This window comes from Homo sapiens, chromosome 10 (assembly GCF_000001405.40).
Source record: "Homo sapiens chromosome 10, GRCh38.p14 Primary Assembly".
NCBI lineage: Eukaryota > Metazoa > Chordata > Mammalia > Primates > Hominidae > Homo > Homo sapiens.
Window position 1 is genome coordinate 6,787,243 of NC_000010.11, and position 19,024 is coordinate 6,806,266.

Sequence of the window (19,024 nt, forward strand, 5' to 3'; positions counted from 1 at the left end):
GTCAACACTCATACTGTGTGCACTTACGAGCTGAGCATTTTACAGTATGTAGTGTGTAATTATATCACCCCAAATAATTGAATCTATTTTCCTAAAACCTATTACTCAGTGATACTAGTGTTTCACTTGGAATCTATGCATTTTTTTCCTACAATTGAATGTTGATTATTCCAACCTGTACTGCAGACTTGGGGGAGCCAAAGACAAGCCTCTGCTTGATCTTGCTTTCAAGGTCTCTGAATTGAGATCAGACCTTCACGATTCATTCTGTGTGTTCACACAAGGGTAGGGAAAGAGCTCTGGATGGAAAGAGATATTCAAGTTCATGTTACTCTGCAGAGCTCCTGAATCAATGACTTGAGACTAGGCAAGAGAAAAAGAGTCAATAATCTAATAGGTTTACTTTTCTTCAATAAATGGAGGCCACTCTTGATAATAATGACCTCAACTCTATCCTTGTTATCCAGGAATAAAGTGCATCAGCTATACTCTTGAGTAAATGAAACCAGTCTATTGAAAATAATGAATAGAGGCTAGCATTTATTTACTTATTACTGAGCCAAGCAATTCACATGCATTAATCATTTAATCCTCACAATACTCTATGAGGCAGACAATATGAAGACTGTTTTTCCGAGCACAGAAAGGTTAAGTAACTTGCCTAAAGTTGCACAGCTAGTGAGAGGAGAAGCCAGAATCAATGCATTACTTGGAATGAGGACCAGGAAATGACAATGGAATATAGAGGGAAGCGGACAAATGGAAAATAAATAATTAAAACCTCTATTGGACAGGCAATTCAAAGAGACATTGGGTATTATCAAGCAAATACTCATTTGCAGACAATGAAACTGAGGCCCATGAAGGTTACGTGACTTCCCAAGTCATTCATCTAATTAGGAGAGAGCTGGGACAAGAAGCCATATTTTAAAAATCCCAGCTCAGGGCCTTTCTACTACATCAAAAAAAAAAAAAAAAAAAAATTAATTGATTTTTTTTTCACATAATGTCCAATTTTGAAATCTATCCCTGAGGGGATTGTTGGTTAGATATTCATAGTATTATAAAATTCAAGTCTTGGAAACGGCCTGGAAAGATCTTATGGCCGTTGGCTCCAAATTCAAGCAGCATCACACTTAAACCATCCCATCCAGATGAGAATCTTTCCCAGTTTTTAAAGTCTTCCAGATGTATCTCAACTGGATTTTTAAATCTGTTTTCCAGAGCAAAACAGCAGAATTTGGAAAATAACCTAATATGCATAAACCATGAATGGCATCCCCGGAGAGACACAAGCCCAAACCCTGAGCGTCCAGAGCATTTTAATTCGGGATGCAGTGCTTTAAAGCCCTAGGGATTATTTTCAGCAGAATTGACTCTATGAATATGAATTATTCTTCATGTCAGCCTTTTTTTTTTTTTTTCTGAGAAGGAAATCTGATACAAGATTGAATAGGAGAACAAGTAGCAGAATTTAGGGCAATATAAAAGGGCCCTGGAAGGCAGGTGAACACATTTTTCTTCCTTGCCCAGAAAAATGTCAATAGGCATTTTACAGCTTCTCCTTTTCTTTCCTTTGCATTCTGTCCTCACTGAAAATGCCCAGTTCACAGCCTGATATTCTTTGAGCGTTTTTCCATTCAAGTCCCAGTTAAGTGATCACTCCTGGGTCTCCAACTGGTTTCGGTCCCGAAGCTGTGTTTGCAGAGATGGAAGGATGCTTGTTGAAGTCGGGACGTCCAAGGGCCACATAAGTGAGGATCTAATTGCCGTGCCTTGTCTCAAGGAGTCTTGAGTTCATGATGTCTTATATTTCTTCATTACTTCCCAAAGCAAAACTTTGTACATCTAGACATATACGACAAGTTTGTTTTTTATGATTGTTTTAGTTTGTCTTGGCAATTGACGTGGGAAGTTGTTAATGCAGTAGACAGATGAAATAAAGACTTGGAGATTAGATGAACTGCTCCAATCAGAGCCTGGATGCAATGCCCTGTTGCCCTCTCTTTCAGATCTATCCAAAGTTAACTTGACTCCATCGACTGGCCCTTAATTTCTGCAGTTCTCTCAGTTCTGGGAATAACCTTATGATTGTTCTTCAGGTGGAGACCCTAGAAAACCTCCAGAGTTTGCTTTGATCCTCATACTCCACCTCCCAAGGAGGAATAAATTTGGAAGTGTATAATAAATCAAAGATAAATTTGGAAGCACATATGAAAAAGCTTTTATGGGACTTCTGCTTTTGAGTAAGATGGAGATATTGGTGACAGACTAATCCTGAAAATCAGAACAACTAGATGAAACAGATAAAATCCAAAAATTATCTGTTTTAAAGGTACCAAGGAGCTGTTGAAGCAATGTAGGTAGAGAGGCTGAAAGACAGCAAAGGGGAGAATCTGCACCAGCCTTTTATCCTGGGGCACTGTGGGTTCACTGTGAGTTCTGGGTGAGAACGAGAAGCTTGGCATCTAAACTCTACCCAAACCCCTTCTCAGCGGGCAGGATGCAGAGGTTTCAGCAGAGCTCAGGGAAGGTAGCCAGGATGTGCAACACAATAGGGCCTTCAACACAGGACCAGCTTCCCCCTCAAGACATTTGCTGAATTCTGAAGCTGCAAGGGAAGGACATAGGAAAGCTAAGCTGAGTACATCAGAAGAGCTGGGTCGAGTTTTCTGCAGTGTGACGATGCCTTGGAGACCCAGGTTAGAGTTCAGTTCCCAGGAGAGGCAGTGTTCCTGGGATGCACCAGCCTCAGTCAAAGCCCTGGAAGTTCATGTTGCCGGAAGAGGATCAGCCCAGAGGAGGCTTACCCAAACTGCAAATTAAAGGCAAAATAGTGAAAGCTTTCCCTCAAGTGGTGGAAAGAAATAAGGGTGCCTACTGTTTACCACTTCTAACCTACATGGTCCTGGAAGTCCAGGCCAGGGCAATAATGCAAGCCAACGTATAAAGGGCAGAATCATTGGAAAGGAAGAAAAAACTTACTAGACACAGATGAACTGTCTCTATATGAAGAAAAATCCAAAAGAATCTGCAAACAACTTAAATTTAATGTCTCTTTACGCAGTCTCCGCATGTAAGGTCAGTATAAAAAAATCACCTCTATATCTATAGACCTGCAACACAGAGAAAATAAAATCTTGCAATTGCAGGATTTGCAACAGCATCGAGGAATATTAAATACTTAAATAGAAATTTTAAAGAGGTATATGAGATTTGTGTTCTAAAGCCACAAAGCATCTCTGAGAGGGAACTCAAAGGGAGATCTAAATAAGTAGATATAGTAAATAAGTAGATCTAGGACATTTGTCAATCAGAAGACTCACTTGTAAACATGTCGACTCTTCCTACATGTATCCCCAGCCTCATGCAATCCCAGGAGATTACATGTGTGTGTATTTGTAAATTGACTCAAGTGATTACAAGATTTATATGAAAATGCAGTGAGCCAAAAATAGCCAGGAAATCTTAAGGAATAAGAGCGGAGAGCAGAGGAAGGCTTCATGGGCCGGGTAGGGGGGCGGGGAGCCTTGAGCTAAGCCGTTGGGTGCATGGGTGGTAAGTGGAATTTTGTTAGGGACTAGAACCATAACAAGTTTGTTGGGGTAACCCTAACACCTATCCTAATGCCTGCCTGATGCCTAACAAATATTCAATAAATATTGGTTAAATGTACATATGAATGAATGGACAGATGCTTGAGATAAGAGTATGTCAGGTTAAAAGGACAGTAGAAGCAACAGTAAAGAAACACGAAACTATCTTACAGTGAGGCATCAAATGTGTCCTAAGTGCGTATGTGAGCTGCAGAAGAAAGGGAGGCTAGAATATTCAGACAGGGCAGTGTTGTGCAGAGGTCTGAAGTAGGCTTGTAGCATTTGGACCTTACTCTTTAGGCATCTAACATTTTGGAACAATGTAAAATGAGTGATAGGTTGGGAGATGAATTGGGCCAGTGACAGGGGAGCCACATGACACCCACCCAGTCACTTCCCTGAAGGACACCCTCTTTGCTTTCTATATCCAGCACCAGCAATAAAATTGGAATTCTTTGCTAAGGTCATTGTTCATATATTTAATATAGAAATCTCCCCAAATGTTAAAAGCTGACAGACACTTAATTTAAAAGCCTAAGTACTCTCTGTCTGAGCCCTGACTATGCCAAAAGCAAAGCTTTTTGTGCTATCAAGAATTTGATGGGATTTCCTTTTTGCATTTCCTTTTCAAAAACCATTAGAACAGCCAGCACCATGCTCCTCTGGAGACCCTTACATTCTACCTTCATGAATTTTCTTGGTTAGGAACAGAGTGCATGAACTCTTTGGGTCTCTCTGTTAGGATGGGTTTCAGCTAACTGTACTTTAGTACAGTTAGTACCAGTGCTTTAATACACACAAGCTTACACTCACAACGAAGTCCAGAGCAAAGCAGTCTGTGATGATTATGGCAGTTTCATGCTGTCATCTCCTATGAGACAGCCCTGCCAGAAGGGCTGCTCACATCCTGATGGCTAGAACTGGTTACATGGCTGTGCTGGTTGCAACAAAAGCTGGAAAATGAAGTGTATTGATACTCCAAAAGAAGCAGAGTTTCGGTAATACAGAAGAATATTGGTGGACATTGAATAGGTCACCAGCAGTCATTGCTACATGATCCAGTCTTCCTTTCTAAAACAAGAACAATCTTGTAGAAAGCGGGAACTTTGAGACTTTCTTAGCTGAGAAATTTGTTGTTATTGTTGCTTTACAATCTCTCCTCCTCTCCTAAGAAGTTGTCCAAGGAAACTGGAGGTTCTTTGTTTCTTAAGCTGGTTGAAGATATAGTTTGCAAACCTGAACAGAACAAAATAACTATTCACCAGAAGAAGAAGAAAAAAAAAAGGCAGGTGGAGGTGGGAAGGAATGTAGGCAAGATCAACCAAATCAATAAAAGAACTAATACCCATAAAGTAAAATGAGCAATGGTCTTGAATACATATTTCACAGAAGAATACAAATGGCTTCAAATTATGGTAAAATTGGATACCAGATAACTGTGCTTTTAAAAATCAAACTGGGAAATATTTAAATTATGATAATACTCAGTACTAGTGAGCTTGTGGCTTGGGAGAATAATTAGTAGAGCTTTTATGAAAAATCATTAAATGTATATATAAAGAGTCTTAGTAAAATGTTTGTTATTAGATCAGAAATTTACCATCTAAAGAAACTTACCGAATATGTGATGTTTTCACAGATCATGAAATTGAAGGGTACAAAAAAAGAACTTCTATTTTTCTGTGACTAAATGTCGATTTCAAGTTCTCATACCTCCTGGAGTTAAAAAATAAGATCCAGTCAATTTCAGTGAAAACCTGTTACTTCTGCTTTTCAGTGATTTGGGCTTTACACTCACAGATCTGAGAGTCTCTCTTGCCCCCCTGGTAACACATTTCAGAGCTGGAGAAAGAGAGGGAGAGGATGGGGGTTTGGACATGGCCCATGTTCATCTTCCCAGTATTCTCTGACAGTCAGCATTCTCCCTGCTGACTTGGGCGGATATGCCATGTCCAGTTGGGTCCTCACCATTCCTGGTGGCCTCACCTGAGCTGAAACAGCATCTCTCCTGGGCCCCAGGTGAAGGGTCCATCATGCCTTGTGCTCTGGCCTCCTGCTGCCCCATGTGGAGTGGTCCTTTGCACCTGCCGGCTCAGTCTCTCTCAGCCACCCTGTGTCTCCTTGAGGCAGGGGGAGACTCAGGCGCAGTCATAACCCTCTGAAGTGCTAGGACTCCATGCTGCCATGTAAAATACACATTTCTCTATTTTTTGGGCTCCCAAAATAGAACTAAGGTTGGGATGGGGTAGTATCTGTACTATGTTTCAAACACACACACATACACACACACACACACACACACACACACACACACACACACACGGAGGAAGTTTCTCCCTCAAAGACCCAAAACTAGCAAGAGGTACCAGTGATGGGTCTTTTGAAGGGGATGTCATCTGCCCGTCACCAAACTGGGACACTTAACTGTTTTGGTGTCACGGGCCCCTTTGGTGGCCTGATGAGCCCTGTGAGTTCCTTTTCAGAAACAATGTTTCAGATACATAAAATAAAATACTTAGGAATATAATGGGAAACAAATTATCTTGAAATTTTGGTCTCTTTACAAACACCAGCTTAAGAACCCTTGCTTCCAATCTTTTCTTTATAACATGAAATCTATGCCTCAATTCCTTATAGGTTTAATTCTTTGAATGCAAAGCAAAAAGAAAAATTTTTCTGTTTTTTAAAAAAGTCTGCTCCTGTCAACCAAAAACATAGATTTTCAGGATTACGTCTCTGTTATGAGTTTTAAAACTCAAAAAGTAAAACTTTGGCGCTCTCTCTCCTCTCTCTTTCTTGCTCTCTCTCTCTCTCGTTTTGATCTTTCTCTGTGATGAAATCTTCCTTTTTTGATGTTGGCAAAAAAAAGGGGGAGGGACATTGGATAATTTGAAGGACAAGAAAATCTTTAAAAATATTTTACCCCATGTTATAAGTGCACAGGAATATTTATGTACAAAAATATTAATTGCATCATTATTTTAAATTAATAAGAAATTAGAAAAAATATAACATAAGAGGATGGTTAAATAAATGAGAGCACGCCATATGACAGAATATTATTTAAGGCCATTTAAAATGATGCTGTCATGATTTTTTCTATCGCATAGGAAAATATTTTTGATCCAAAGTTAAATGTCAAAAAGTAGGGTTCAAAATGATAGATGTAATATGACCCAAAGAGAGCGAAGAAGAGAAAAGAAAGCAATAGGAAAAATGCTAAAAAAAAATAATACCACATTACAGGGATTTTCTCTGAATGAGAAATATTGCTTTAAGCTTTTCTAAATTTTTAAATGTAGTGTAATTTTCTTCCAAATTAATTTTTTTTCTCATTATCATATTCCTCCTATACTTTGAAAAAAAATTTTAAATAAAGAAAATTTGCCGGAAAGTTGACATTTTAAAACTTTAAAACTTCCAAAGGTAGTTTCTAACAGGCAGCTATTATGTTAAATACCCAACAAAAGTTGCCACAAATTGCTATCTTGAAAAAAAAAAAAGACTAAAATGATGACCTCTGATTTATTTCCATGCTCCAAGTCAAACCTTGCCCACACGTGCCGTGTGGGGTTCTGGGGAGTGCGTCTGGCCGTGGTACAGGAGGCCCCAGCACAGGTGCCATCTGATGCCAGCCCAATTACCGCTTCTGAGTGTTGCAAACTACAGAAACTACACTTCGCTGTTTTCCTCCACCTCAAAATATGTACACACTAAACATTATTATGCAGCTATTTCCTACCGGAAACTCAGATCAGAATCAAATTTTAGCAGAAACTACTTTCAATACCAGATTTGGGTGTGTCCATCCCGGCAGTTCTGCACCTAGCACGGGAGTAAGAGTCACCCACGTGGGTGGAGGTTTATCCACTCGTCTAAAACATTCCCACTGGAATCGATCACAAATAGAAGAGGGTTTTTCGTAGCTGGAATTTGGTGAAGCAGGCTAGGGCACCCACATCTTTCCTTCAATTGGAATGAAAAAACTTGTGTGCATTTTCGAAGATCTTTGAGGTTAAAATGAGTTGATTTCATCTTAAGAAGCCAATGTCACCCAAAAGAAAATGAACAGTGTTTACGGTTAAAACCATCAGAACAAGATCACGTCTTGTGCAGGAACATGGATGAAGCTGGAGGCCATTATCGTTAGCAAATGAATGCAAGAACAGAAAGTCAAGTGCTGCATGTTCTCACTTGTAAGTGGGAGTGAAACGATGAGAACTCCTGAACACAAAGAGGGAAACAACCGGCACTAAGGTCTGCTTGATGGGGGAGGGTGGGAGGAGGGGGAGGCGCAGAAGGGTGGGAGGAGGGGGAGGCGCAGAAGGGTGGGAGGAGGGGGAGGCGCAGAAGGGTGGGAGGAGGGGGAGGCGCAGAAGGGTGGGAGGAGGGGGAGGCGCAGAAGGGTGGGAGGAGGGGGAGGCGCAGAAGGGTGGGAGGAGGGGGAGGCGCAGAAGGGTGGGAGGAGGGGGAGGCGCAGAAGGGTGGGAGGAGGGGGAGGCGCAGAAGGGTGGGAGGAGGGGGAGGAGCAGAAAAGATAACTATTGGGTACTGGGCTTAATACCTGGGTGATGAAATAATCTGTACAACAAACTCCTGTGACATGAGTTTACCTATGTAACAAACCTACACATGTACCCCTGAACCTAAACTAAAAGGTAAAAACCCAACCAACCAACCAACCAACCAACCAACCTAACAACCAAACAAACAAACAAAAAAAACACCATCATCCCCATCACCCACATTCTCCTAAGCTTTGTTCAGGAGTTTCACGAAAGTTAAGAGAGAAAGTTTCTAGATTTAGTTTCCCCAAACCTTTTAGGAGACACAGTACAGAGCTTTCTGCCCTTTGCTGAAATACAGGCAGAGGAGGTGTTTTTGGCAAATGGACAACCCTTCACAAAGGGTTTCTTGTGGAGCCGTGAGGCTTTATGCAAGTACACTGTGTGGTACGGAGAGGGTGGCAGCTCATCTTGTGTCATTTTTCCAGTCTGCGTTAAGTTCGTCTTTTCCTGTTTAGTGGTTCCATGGCCTGAGTGAGAGGTGGGAGGTGGATCTATATTTTCTCTTTTCCCTTGTACTCTGCCCGTTCCACAACAAGGATGACATTTGTCTTCTCCTTTATGGATGCAAATAATTCTTTGTCGCAGACAGGTGGATGACTGTTTTGTTCAAATCTTCATGTTTTTAAATAAAATAAGTGTATTGATCATGCCTCTATTTTCTGTATTTCTGATGCCTTGACATCTGAGGCCTTTCTGACCCTGAAGGGCCTGCCCTTCTTGGGGTTAGCCAATTCCTAGGAAGAGCAAATAACTCCCCTGTGTGTGTACTTTTTATATGGAACCAACCGATCCAGAGCCCTTTCCCCAACCATCTCCATAATCTCTCCCATTCAGGGCCACCTCCCCTGCCCTAATCACCCCAGGTCCAGATAACAACTAGGTGCCACGTCCATGCCCCAGAGCCTGCTGAAATTATTCACACTAGCAGATCCTAAGCCTGCTCACCCTGGTTCCCCCATTCCTTCCACGGAAGCCACAATAGAGGCTGTGGCCGTGCTTACTCTTCACTCCATTTGCCTCCTGACTCCCCATGTGGGCTCCCATGGTGTGACATGCCCCTCCTCCTGGGAACTGTGAGTGACAAACCATCTTTCCAATGGCAGTCATCTTCTGACCTGTGCCTCACCATACCTGGATAATGGTAAAACCTACATGTTAAAACTAGCCTATTAGAGTGGCTGGTATAGTTCCCAGTCAGTAACAGGTGCCAAGTAAATGGTACTTATATCTTTCCTCCAACAGTGTATGTAGGAGTACTGGTGACATTTCCCTTCTCTCCCCAAGCCCCACCCCTTGCATGAATTTTTTAAAATTGCATTCTCCAAGCTCTGTGACTCTGCCTTCTGTGCCCAAGTTCACCATACGAAGTAGGAAGGATGCAGCCTCCTTCTCAAAACACTAATTTTCCCAACTGCAAAGGTACCAAAAGCTGTTTTCATCCTCCAAAAGTCCTCCTCGAAGGTTTAAAACCCTGGGACTGGCCAGATAGCCCTGAGTTGTCTTCATCATAAATTAAGACCTAATAAGATTTGGATGGCATCAAACTATCACTCACGTGATTCAGAAAAAGGGACTCAGAGAGAAGAGCACTTGGGGAGAATGAGAGGCCAGGAGAGGAGAGGATTTTGCAATGGTGGCTTGGAACTGGCCAGGTATCCTTGGTTTAAAAGTTGGTTTCATGCGCGTCCGTGTGAAGAGACCACCAAACAGGCTTTGTGTGAGCAACATGGCTGTTTATTTCACCTGGGTGCAGGTGGGCTGAGTCCGAAAAGAGAGTCAGTGAAGGGAGATGGGGGTGGGGCCGTTTTATAGGATTTGGGTAGGTAAAGGAAAATTACAGTCAAAGGGGGTTTGTTCTCTGGCGGGCAGGAGTGGGGGTTGCAAGGTGCTCAGTGGGGGTGCTTTTTGAGCCAGGATGAGCTAGGAAAAGGACTTTCACAAGGTAATGTCATCACTTAAGGCAAGGACCGGCCATTTGCACTTCTTTTGCGGTGGAATGTCATCAGTTAAGGTGGGGCAGGGCATATTCACTTCTTTTGTGATTCTTCAGTTACTTCAGGCCATCTGGGCATATACGTGCAAGTCACAGGGGATGTGATGGCTTGGCTTGGGCTCAGAGGCCTGACATTCCTGCCTTCTTATATTAATAAGAAAAATAAAACAAAATAGTGTTGAAGTGTTGGGGCAGCGAAAATTTTTGGGGGGTGGTATGGAGAGAGAATGGGCGATGTTTCTGAGGGCTGCTTCAAGTTGGATTAGGGGTGGCTTGGGAACCTAGAGTGGGAGAGATTAAGCTGAAGGGAGGTCTTGTGGTAAGGGGTGATATTGTGGGGATGTTAGAAGAAACATTTGTCATATAGAATGATTGGTGATGGCCTGGATACAGTTTTGGATGAATTGAGAAACTAAATGGAATAACAGAAGGAGAAAAACAGGTATAAAAGGTCTAAGAATTAGGATAACTTAGGATATCTGATTAGAGAGTGCCTAAGGAGATTCACATAGTCCTGCCAGCAAAGATTATTTATTTACTTCAAGAGTTAAGAGTGGCAGTTTGGGGATAGCACCAGGAGATATCAGCTGTGATGGCTTGGAGAAACAGTGTAAACAGGCAGTGTAAACAAGAGCAGGGCATGTATGAGTAGTTGAGAACGGTGAATAGGAGTATGACAAGACAGAAGATAGTAGGGATGTCAAGTTTTTTGGGGCACAGTCTAAGTTGGTCTGGTGTCTAGAATGAGACTGGGGCCTAATAAAAAGGAGCATCTATACAGGAGCTTAAATGGGCTGTACCCTGTAGCATTCTGAGGACAGGCCTGAATTCTGAGAAGGGAAAGTGGTAAAAGTATTGTCCAGTCCTTTTTGGTGGCTGAGCTTGGTGAGGTGTGTTTTTAAAAGACCTTTAGTCCATTCTACTTTTCTTGAAGACGGAGGACCATAAGGGATATAAAGGTTTCACTGAATACTAAGAGCCTGAAAAACTGCTTGGCTGATTTGACTAATAAAGGCTCATCTGTTATCAGACTGTATTGAGGTGGGAAGGCTAAACTGAGGAATTATGTCTGACAGAATGGAAGAAATGACTGTGGTGGCCTTCTCAGACCCTGTAGGAAAGGCCTGTACCTATCCAGTGAAAGTGTCTACCTAGACTAAGAGGTATTTTAGTTTTCTGACTCAGGGCATGTGGAGTAAAGCTAATTTGCCAGTCCTGGGTGGGGCAATTCCTCGAGCTTGATGTGTGGGGAAGGGAGGGGGCCTGAATAATCCCTGAGGAGTAGTAGAATAGCAGATGGAACACTGAGAAGTTATTTTCTTGAGGATAGATTTCCACGATGGAAAGGAAATGAGAGGTTCGAAGAGACGGGCTAGTGGCTTGTACTATAGCATAACCTGCCTTTGCTGGTGTGTGGCGATTAGGCCTGGTGGAACTGCCATCAATAAATCAAGCGTGATCAGGGTGAGGAACAGGAAAGAAAGAAATTTGGGGAAATGGGGTGAATGTCAGGTGGATCAGAGAGATACAATCATGGGGGTCAGGTGTGGTATCTGGAATAATGTGGGAGGCCGGATTGAAGTCTGGGCCAGGAACAACAGTAATTGTGGGAGGCTCAACAAAGTGTGAGTATAGCTGAAGGAGCCAGGAAGCAAAAAGTATATCCATCAGGTATGAGGAAGAAAATAGATTTTGGAAGTTATGAGAACTGTAGAGAGTGAATTGAGCACAGTTTGTGATTTTGACGGCCTCTAAAAGTATTAAAGCAGTGGCAGCCGCTGCACGCAGACATGAGGGCTAGGCTAAAACAGTAAGGTCAAATTGTTTGGACAGAAAGGCTGTAGGGTGTGGTCCTGGCTCTTGTATAAGAATTCTGACTGCGCTAATCATGCCTAGGAAGGAAAGGAGTTGTCGTTTTGTAGAAGGTGCTTGGGTTTGAGAGATCAGTCGGACACGATTGGCAGGGAGAGCACGTGTGTTTTTATGAGAATTATGCAGAGATAGGTAACAGATGAGGAAGAAATTTGGGCTTGATTGAAGTAATGGGGGCTGTCTGTGAAGCTTTGCAGCAGTACAGCCTAGGTAATTTGCTGAGCTTGATGGGTGTCAGGGTCAGTCCAAGTGAAAGCGAAGAGAGGCTGGGATGAAGGGTGCAACGGAATAGTAGAGAAAGCATGTTTGAGATCTAGAACAGAATAATGGGTTGTAGAGGCAGGTATTGAGGATAGGAGAGTATATGGGTTTGGCGCCATGGGGTGGATAGGCAAAACAATTTGGTTGATAAGGCGCAGATCCTAAACTAAATTGTAAGGCTTGTCTGGTTTTAGGACAGGTAAAATGGGGGAATTGTAAGGAGAGTTTTTAGGTTTTAAAAGGCCATGCTTTAGCAGGCGAGTGATAACAGGCTTTAATCTTTTTAAAGCGTGCTGTGGGATGGGATATTGGCATTGAGTGGGGTAAGGGTGACTAGGTTTTAATGAGATGGTAAGGGGTGCATGATCGGTCACCAAGGAGGGAGTAGAGGTATCTTATACTTGTGGGTTAAGGTGGGGGGATACAAGAGGAGACGCAAAGGAGGCTTTGGATTGGGAAGAAGGGTGGCAATGAGATACAGCTGTAGTCCAGGAATAGTCAGGGAAGCAGATACTTTAGTTAAAGTGTCTCAGCCTAATAAGGGAACTGGGCAGGTGGAGATAACTAAAAGGAGTGCTTAAAAGAGTATTGTCTAAGTTGGCACCAGAGTTGGGGAGTTTTAAGAGGTTTAGAAGCCTGGCCGTCAATATCCACAACAGTTATGGAGGCAAGGGAAACAGGCCCTTGAAAAGAAGGTAATGTGGCGTGGGTGGCCTCCGTATTGATTAAGAAGGGGACGGGCTTACCTTCCCTGTGAGAGTTACCGGAAGCTCGGCGTCCGTGATGGTCTAGGGGGCTTCCGAGGCGATCCGGCAGCGTCAGTCTTCAGCCGCTAAGCTGAGAAGATCTGGGAAGGAGTCAGAGAGCCTTGGGCCAGAGTTCCAGGGGCTCTGGGAGTGGCTGCCAGGTGAGTTGAACAGTCCGATTTTCAGTGGGGTCCCACACAGATGGGACACAGGTTAGGAGGAATCCCGGGCTGTGGGCATTCCTTGGCCCAGTGGACAGATTTCCAGCACGTGTAGCAAGCTCCTGTGGGAGGAGGTTCTGGAGGAACGCCTGGCTACTGTGGTTCAGGCGTTTGGAAGTTCTTGGGTGCTGGAGATGTGGCTGGGGTTTGTCTCACAGTGGAGGCAAGGAATTGCAACTTTTTTCTATTATTGTACACCTTGAAGGCGAGGTTCATTAAATCCTGTTGTGGGGTTTGAGGGCCGGAATTTAATTTTTGGAGTTTTATTTAGTGTCGGGAGCAGATTGGGTAATAAAATGTATTTTAAGAATAAGACGGCCTTTTGACCTTTTAGGGTCTAGGGCTGTAAAGTGTCTCACGGTTGCTGCCAAACAAGTCATGAACTGGGCTGGATTTTTATATTTGATGAAAAAGAGCCTAAACGCTTCTGATTTGGGATAAAGAAAAAGGAGCATTAACCTTGACTATGCCTTTAGCTCCAGCCACCTTTTTAAGAGTAAATTGCTGGGCAGGAGGGGGAGGGCTAGTCACTGAACAAAACTGTAATCCGGACCAGGTGTGAGGAGGGGAGGTGATAAAAAGATTATAGGGTGGAGGAACAGAGGCTGAGGAAGATTTGGGACCTAGCTCGGCCTGGCAAGGAGCAGCCTGGGGAGGAAGGGAGAGGTCAGATGGGTCTGTAGAAAAGGAAGATTAGAAAGACTCAGTGACGCTTGGGGTTGGTACTGAGGGGACAGGCGGGAGGGAAAGAAGGAAGATTTGGGATGAGTTGCACTGGGCACAGACTAGGAAGGGACTGATGTATAAAAGAATGCCTGGACGTCAGGCACCTCAGACCGTTTGCCTATTTTACAACAAGAATTATTTAGATCTTGCAGGATGGAAAAATTCAAAGTGCCATTTTCTGGCTATTTGGAACTACTGTCGAGTTTGCATTGGGGTCAAGCGGCATTGCAGAAGAAAATAAGGCATTTAGGTTTTAGGTCAGGTGTGAGTTGAGGTTTTATGTTTTTGAGAACACAGGCCAAGGGAGTAGAAGGAGGAATGGAGGGTGGAATGTTCCCATAGTGAAGGAAGCAAGCCTAGAGAGAAGAGAGAGTAGAGAAATGGAGGGAAGGGATTCAGGGGTTCTTACCTTCCAGAAAAGTGGGAAAAGGGGTTTGGGTGCAGAGATAAGAAGTCAGGGCATGGAAATAAGGGATGGGGCACAGAAATAAGAGGTCAGGGCATGGAAATAAGGGATTGGGGTGCAGAGATATGAGGTTGGGGTACTTGCCCATCCTCTAGAAAAGCAGGACTTGCCACTAAGAGTGAAGGAGAAGGGGTTGAGGAGTACTTGCCCCTCTCCCAGAAAAGCAGAGAAGGGATAGAGACAAGGAGAGAAGGGGTTGGGGTACTTGCCCTGTCCCCAGAAAAGCAGAGAAGGGGTAGAGACAAGGAGAGAAGGGGTTGGGGTACGTGCCCTGTCCCCAGAAAAGCAGAGAAGGGGTAGAGACAAGGAGAGAAGGGGTTGGGGTACTTGCCCCTTCCCCAGAAAAGCGGAAATTGCCGCTAAGGGTGAAGGACCAAGGCAGGCGTCCCTGCGTGGTCTGACACCCTTGAAACGTGGGTGTATAATCAGAGAGGCGTCCCTGCAATGATTAAACACCAAGGGAAGGCTGCCTTCCCAGTCCATGACCAGCACCAGAGTTTTGGGTCCACAGATAAAACATGTCTCCTTTGTCTCTACCAGAAAATGAAAGGAATTGAAATTAAGAGAAGGGAGAGATTGAAGTGTGGCACCAAGATTGAAAGGAGAAAGAGGTTGAGGGATAGTGAGGGAGGTTGGAGAAGAGAGTAAAAAGAGGCCGCTTACTGGATTTAAAATTGGTGAGATGTTTCTTGGGCTGGTCGGTCTGAGGACCTGAGGTCGTAGGTGGATCTTTCTCATGGATCAAAGAGCAGGAGGACAGGGGATTGATCTCCCAAGGGAGGTCCCCCGATCCGAGTCACGGCACCAAATTTCATGCGCATCCGTGTGAAGAGACCACCAAACAGGCTTTGTGTGAGCAACATGGCTGTTTATTTCACCTGGGTGCAGGCAGGCTGAGTCCGAAAAGAGAGTCAGTGAAGGGAGATAGGGGTGGGGCCATTTTATAGGATTTGGGTAGGTAAAGGAAAATTACAGTCAAAGGGGGTTTGTTCTCTGGCGGGCAGGAGTGGGGGTTGCAAGGTGCTCAGTGGGGGAGCTTTTTGAGTCAGGATGAGCCAGGAAAAGGACTTTCACAAGGTAATGTCATCACTTAAGGCAAGGACCGGCCATTTACACTTCTTTTGTGGTAGAATGTCGTCAGTTAAGGTGGGGCAGGGCATATTCACTTCTTTTGTGATTCTTCAGTTACTTCAGGCCATCTGGGCATATACGTGCAAGTCACAGGGTATGCGATGGCTTGGCTTGGGCTCAGAGGCATGACAGTTGGGCTCAGTCACCCAGAATCCATTCTTTCAACAAGTGTTTGTGTCCTGCACAACCCAAGGAAATTGGGATACAGCAATGAACGAAAGACACAGAGCTCTTTCCCTTAAGGTGTCAAATACTATGGAAAAAATAAATAGTGCAGCCCAGTAAGGTGGATCAGAAGTGTGGGTGTGCGTTTGTGTGTGTTGGAAGGTGACTGGGGCTGGAGGGCAGAGACTGCAATATTTGCAGAAGGAGTCAGGGTGGGCCCTTAGAGAAGTTGAGGTCTGCATTGAAGGAGTAGAAGTTGGCAAGCCTGGAGAATGAAACCACCAACATGAAGCCTTTGGGTTGCCAGTCATGTGCCATGCCTTCTCTCTCTACCCTACTCCCTCCTGCTTATTTAATCATTATTTACTCTTTGTCCACAAAGCAAATGTTATTTTAAAAAGACTATTCCATAAGACTTCCAGTATACAATAGTTTAGACTCTACAAATTTCAGAGATGGGTGAAGAACATCTAGTCTAAGGGTTTGCAAACATACTTTTTAAAGCTTAGAATCATTTGTTTAAATGAAAAAGAAACTCTAAAGGGAAATGTAAACAAGGCAAATGGGACCACCCTGGGTGAAGCTCAGTCCCCCCACATACCACCACTCCCAGGGCAAACCGTAAAGGTGCTCCTGGGAGGGCATGTGAAAAGCTGGATTTATTCTAAACTCATCTATCTATAAGAAAATTGACACCCAAACAGGGCAGATGACTTGTCCAAGGTCTCAGAAAACATAACCCCAGGCTTCTTGTCTACTTTTTTCTCCTTCCACCAAGAAATGCCATCCCTTGCATTTAAAATTTATATGAATTTTGCAGATAGAAGCAATAGTCCTCATAGCAAGCCACTTACTTATTTCAAAATACTGAAATTTTGCACTGCAGTTTTTTTATTAGAGTTTTATGATTCTAATCATTCTTAGCTTTTAATCATTTATATGATAAATATTTCTATCTTTCCGTGTGAGAATTAATTCTTTCCAATTTAGCCTCATGGAACTTCCTTCTGATATTGGTAAATGATTGAAAAAAAGTTCTTGATGGTTTTAAACTCCCTAGTTTTTAAAAATATATTCAGCATTTAAATGATTGATCAGTAATGTGCAGAATAGAATTAGAGATGTGCAGAAAACTTTTTTTTTGGTGGTGTTGTTCTTTTTTAATTTTTTTAATTATACTTTAAGTTTTAGGGTACATATGCACAATGTGCAGGTTAGTTACATACGTATACATGTGCCATGCTGGTGTGCTGCACCCATTAACTCGTCATTTAGCATTAGGTATATCTCCTAATGCTATCCCTCCTCCCTCCCCTACCCCACAACAGTCCCCAAAGTGTGATGTTCCCCTTCCTGTGTCCATGTGTTCTTATTGTTCAATTCCTACCTATGAGTGAGAACATGCGGTGTTTGGTTTTTAGTCCTTGTGATAGTTTACTGAGAATGATGATTTCCAATTTCATCCATGTCCCTACAAAGGACATGAACTCATCATTTTTTATGGCTGCATAGTATTCCATGGTGTATATGTGTCACCTTTTCTTAATCCAGTCTATCATTGTTGGACATTTGGGTTGGTTCCAAGTCTTTGCTATTGTGAATAGTGCCGCAATAAACACACGTGTGCATGTGTCTTTGTAGCAGCATGATTTACAGTCCTTTGGGTATATACCCAGTAATGGGATGGCTGGGTCAAATGGTATTTCTAGTTCTAGATCCCTGAGGAATCGCCACACTGACTTCCACAATGGTTGAACTAGTTTACAGTCCCACCAACAGTGTAAAAGTGTTCCTATTTCTCCACATCCTCTCCAGCACCGGTTGTTTCCTGACTTTTTAATGATCGCCATTCTAACTGGTATGAGATGGTATCTCATTATGGTTTTGAATTGCATTTCTCTGATGGCCAGTGATGATGAGCATTTTTTCATGTGTCTTTTGGCTGCATAAATGTCTTCTTTTGAGAAGTGTCTGTTCATGTCCTTTGCCCACTTTTTGATGGGGTTTTTTTTTTCTTGTAAATTTATTGGAGTTCATTGTAGATTCTGGATATTAGCCGTTTGTCAAATGAGTAGGTTGCGAAAATTTTCTCCCATTTTGTAGGTTGCCTATTCACTCTGATGGTAGTTTCTTTTGCTGTGCAGAAGCTCTTTAGTTGAATTAGATCCCATTTGTCAATTTTGGCTTTTGTTGACATTGCTTTTGGTGTTTTAGACATGAAGTCCTTCCCTATGCCTATGTCCTGAATGGTAATGCCTAGGTTTTCTTCTAGGATTTTTATGGTTTTGGGTCTAATGTTGAAGTCTTTAATCCATCTTGAATTAATTTTTGTATAAGGTGTAAGGAAGGGATCCAGTTTCAGCTTTCTACATATGGCTAGCCAGTTTTCCCAGCACCATTTATTAAATAGAGAATCCTTTCCCCATTGCTTTTCTCAGGTTTGTCAAAGATCAGATAGTTGTAGATACGTGGCGTTATTTCTGAGGGCTCTGTTCTGTTCCATTGATCTGTATCTCTGTTTTGGTACCAGTACCATGCTGTTTTGGTTACTGTAGCCTTGTAGTATAGTTTGAAGTCAGGTAGTGTGATGCCTCCAGCTTTGTTCTTTTGGCTTAGGATTGACTTGGCGATGCGGGCTCTTTTTTGGTTCCATATGAACTTTAAAGTAGTTTTTTCCAATTCTGTGAAGAAAGACATTGGTAGCTTGATGGGGATGGCACTGAATCTATAAATTACCTTGGGCACTATGGCCATTTTCACGATATTGATTCTTCCTACCCATGAGCATGGAATGTTCTTCCATTTGTTTGTATCCTCTTTTATTTTGTTGAGCAGTGGTTTGTAGTTCTCCTTGAAGAGGTCCTTCATGTCGCTTGTAAGTTGGATTCCTAAGTATTTTATTCTCTTTGAAGCAATTGTGAATGGGAGTTCACTCAAGATTTGGCTCTCTGTTTGTCTGTTATTGGTGTCTAAGAATGCTTGTGATTTTTGTACATTGATTTCATATCCTGAGACTTTGCTGAAGTTGCTTATCAGCTTAATGAGATTTTGGGCTGAGGCAATGGGGTTTTCTAGATATACAATCATGTCATCTGCAAACAGGGACAATTTGACTTCCTCTTTTCCTAATTGAATACCCTTTATTTCCTTCTCCTGCCTAATTGCCCTGGCCAGAACTTCCAACACTATGTTGAATAGGAGTGGTGAGAGAGGGCATCCCTGTCTTGTGCCAGTTTTCAAAGGGAATGCTTCCAGTGTTTGCCCATTCAGTATGATATT

At 42.9% G+C, this 19,024-nt stretch overlaps 1 long non-coding RNA gene across 1 annotated transcript in view, besides 6 other annotated features; it reads left to right on the top strand.

Moving 5' to 3' along the window:
• Positions 1-19,024, top strand: part of LINC00707 (long intergenic non-protein coding RNA 707) — a 63,309-nt gene that overhangs the window by 7,645 nt on the left and 36,640 nt on the right. The window lies entirely within an intron of this gene.
• Positions 6,690-7,647: an enhancer, noted in NCBI's record as "NANOG-H3K27ac-H3K4me1 hESC enhancer chr10:6835894-6836851 (GRCh37/hg19 assembly coordinates)". NCBI's record gives its function as "activates a minimal SCP1, AML or CMV promoter by ChIP-STARR-seq in naive H9 embryonic stem cells {active_cell/tissue: H9 hESC(naive)}" and the evidence as "EXISTENCE:reporter gene assay evidence [ECO:0000049][PMID:30033119]".
• Positions 7,648-8,604: an enhancer, noted in NCBI's record as "NANOG-H3K27ac-H3K4me1 hESC enhancer chr10:6836852-6837808 (GRCh37/hg19 assembly coordinates)". NCBI's record gives its function as "activates a minimal SCP1, AML or CMV promoter by ChIP-STARR-seq in naive H9 embryonic stem cells {active_cell/tissue: H9 hESC(naive)}" and the evidence as "EXISTENCE:reporter gene assay evidence [ECO:0000049][PMID:30033119]".
• Positions 9,562-10,517: an enhancer, noted in NCBI's record as "OCT4-NANOG-H3K27ac-H3K4me1 hESC enhancer chr10:6838766-6839721 (GRCh37/hg19 assembly coordinates)". NCBI's record gives its function as "activates a minimal SCP1, AML or CMV promoter by ChIP-STARR-seq in primed H9 embryonic stem cells {active_cell/tissue: H9 hESC(primed)}" and the evidence as "EXISTENCE:reporter gene assay evidence [ECO:0000049][PMID:30033119]".
• Positions 14,274-14,858: an enhancer, noted in NCBI's record as "H3K27ac hESC enhancer chr10:6843478-6844062 (GRCh37/hg19 assembly coordinates)". NCBI's record gives its function as "activates a minimal SCP1, AML or CMV promoter by ChIP-STARR-seq in primed H9 embryonic stem cells {active_cell/tissue: H9 hESC(primed)}" and the evidence as "EXISTENCE:reporter gene assay evidence [ECO:0000049][PMID:30033119]".
• Positions 14,859-15,442: an enhancer, noted in NCBI's record as "OCT4-NANOG-H3K27ac hESC enhancer chr10:6844063-6844646 (GRCh37/hg19 assembly coordinates)". NCBI's record gives its function as "activates a minimal SCP1, AML or CMV promoter by ChIP-STARR-seq in naive and primed H9 embryonic stem cells {active_cell/tissue: H9 hESC(naive and primed)}" and the evidence as "EXISTENCE:reporter gene assay evidence [ECO:0000049][PMID:30033119]".
• Positions 15,443-16,026: an enhancer, noted in NCBI's record as "OCT4-NANOG-H3K27ac hESC enhancer chr10:6844647-6845230 (GRCh37/hg19 assembly coordinates)". NCBI's record gives its function as "activates a minimal SCP1, AML or CMV promoter by ChIP-STARR-seq in naive and primed H9 embryonic stem cells {active_cell/tissue: H9 hESC(naive and primed)}" and the evidence as "EXISTENCE:reporter gene assay evidence [ECO:0000049][PMID:30033119]".